We start from the raw sequence: 1455 nt of genomic DNA, 5'->3' as shown, positions 1-1455 counted from the left end.
TGAAAGCATTTTTTTTCCCCCAGAAAGCCATGGATAGTTTTTAGTAATAGAGGAGCATGCTCTAACTGTTTAGCGAGGATGACTCTGACTGATAGGCTGAGACTAGACTGTGATGATGGGGGAGTAGGCAAGAGTGGAAGCAGGAAGATAGGTAGAAGGATGTTGCAGTAATCCAAATAAGAGGAGATGATACTTTGGTTTCTGGTTATGACAGTGAGTCGCAAGACTCTCCTTCCAGTGGAGAACAAGCATAAAACTGGACAGAATTGATGAGTCAACTGTTTTTGGACATTAAGCAACAGAAAACCAAGATACAAGTTGCGAGGAAAATCTAAACATAGAGCCTGAAGATAGCACTGCCATCCTGTCTGCCGAGACACAAGGAGGTGAAACCCAAACAGAGTAGCACAGTTGTTGAATTAAAAGGTCAGAGATTGGAGTTTTAACCTGCTGAAGTGGCTGGCAATCAGGAAGTGAAGCAGATGTACAGAGGAGTGGCTGCAGAAGTGGCAATGGGACTCACTTTGAATCCTTGTACAGGGCTGGACATGCATCCACAAAGGACTCCTTGAGGCCTTGCAGAGAGGACTTGCTACAGAGTTGGCAGCTGAACAGAGATACAAGAGGTCCTGTAGGACTCATGGATGTTGGTGTTCTGACATAACAACGGTGGAGAAACCTCACTACACACCTTGAGCATTCACTTAAGATCCCAGTAAATGATACGTCTCATACAGAAGACTCACATTTTACTATAAAGTCAACATCCTAGGATTTAATTGAAAAGTAAAATAGATACATTGTAACAAAAGAAAACAGCTTGACAGGATCTACCTGTCAAGTAATTTGGCTATCTCTCATAAAAATATTTAACATCTTTAAAAAGAAGACAAACTAAGACACGATACCATTCATAACATTCAACAAATAATAAAATTTACTGTGTTAGGCCATTTTTTTGCATTGCTATGAAATACCTGAGACTGAGTAATTTATAGAGAAAAGAGGTTTAATTGGCTCATGGTTCTGCAGGCTGTACAAGCTTGGCTTCAGCATCTGCTTCTGGTGAGAGCCTCAAGAAGTTTGCAATCATAGCAGAAGGCAAAGGGGAAGTTGGCCTGTCACATAGTAAGAGTGGGAGCAAGAGAGTGAAGGGGGAGGTGCTATACACTTTTAAACAACCATATCTCACAAGAACTCACTCACTATCGCAAGGACAGCATGCCAAACCATTCATGAGGGATTTGCCCCATGACCCAAACACCTGCCACAAGGCCCCACCTCCAACATCAGGGATGATATTTTAACATGAAATTTGGATGGAACAAACATGCAAAGTTTTATCATTTACTGTATGTGCAAAGAAGCAGGAAAACATGACCCATTAAAAGGGAGGAAAAAGCATTTAAGAGAAACAGATTCAAAGATAAGCAAAAATTGTGACAAAAAATTTGA

This window comes from Homo sapiens, chromosome 5 (genome assembly GCF_000001405.40).
Source record: "Homo sapiens chromosome 5, GRCh38.p14 Primary Assembly".
NCBI classification, from domain to species: Eukaryota; Metazoa; Chordata; class Mammalia; order Primates; family Hominidae; genus Homo; species Homo sapiens.
Note: the sequence above shows the minus strand (reverse complement) of the source record.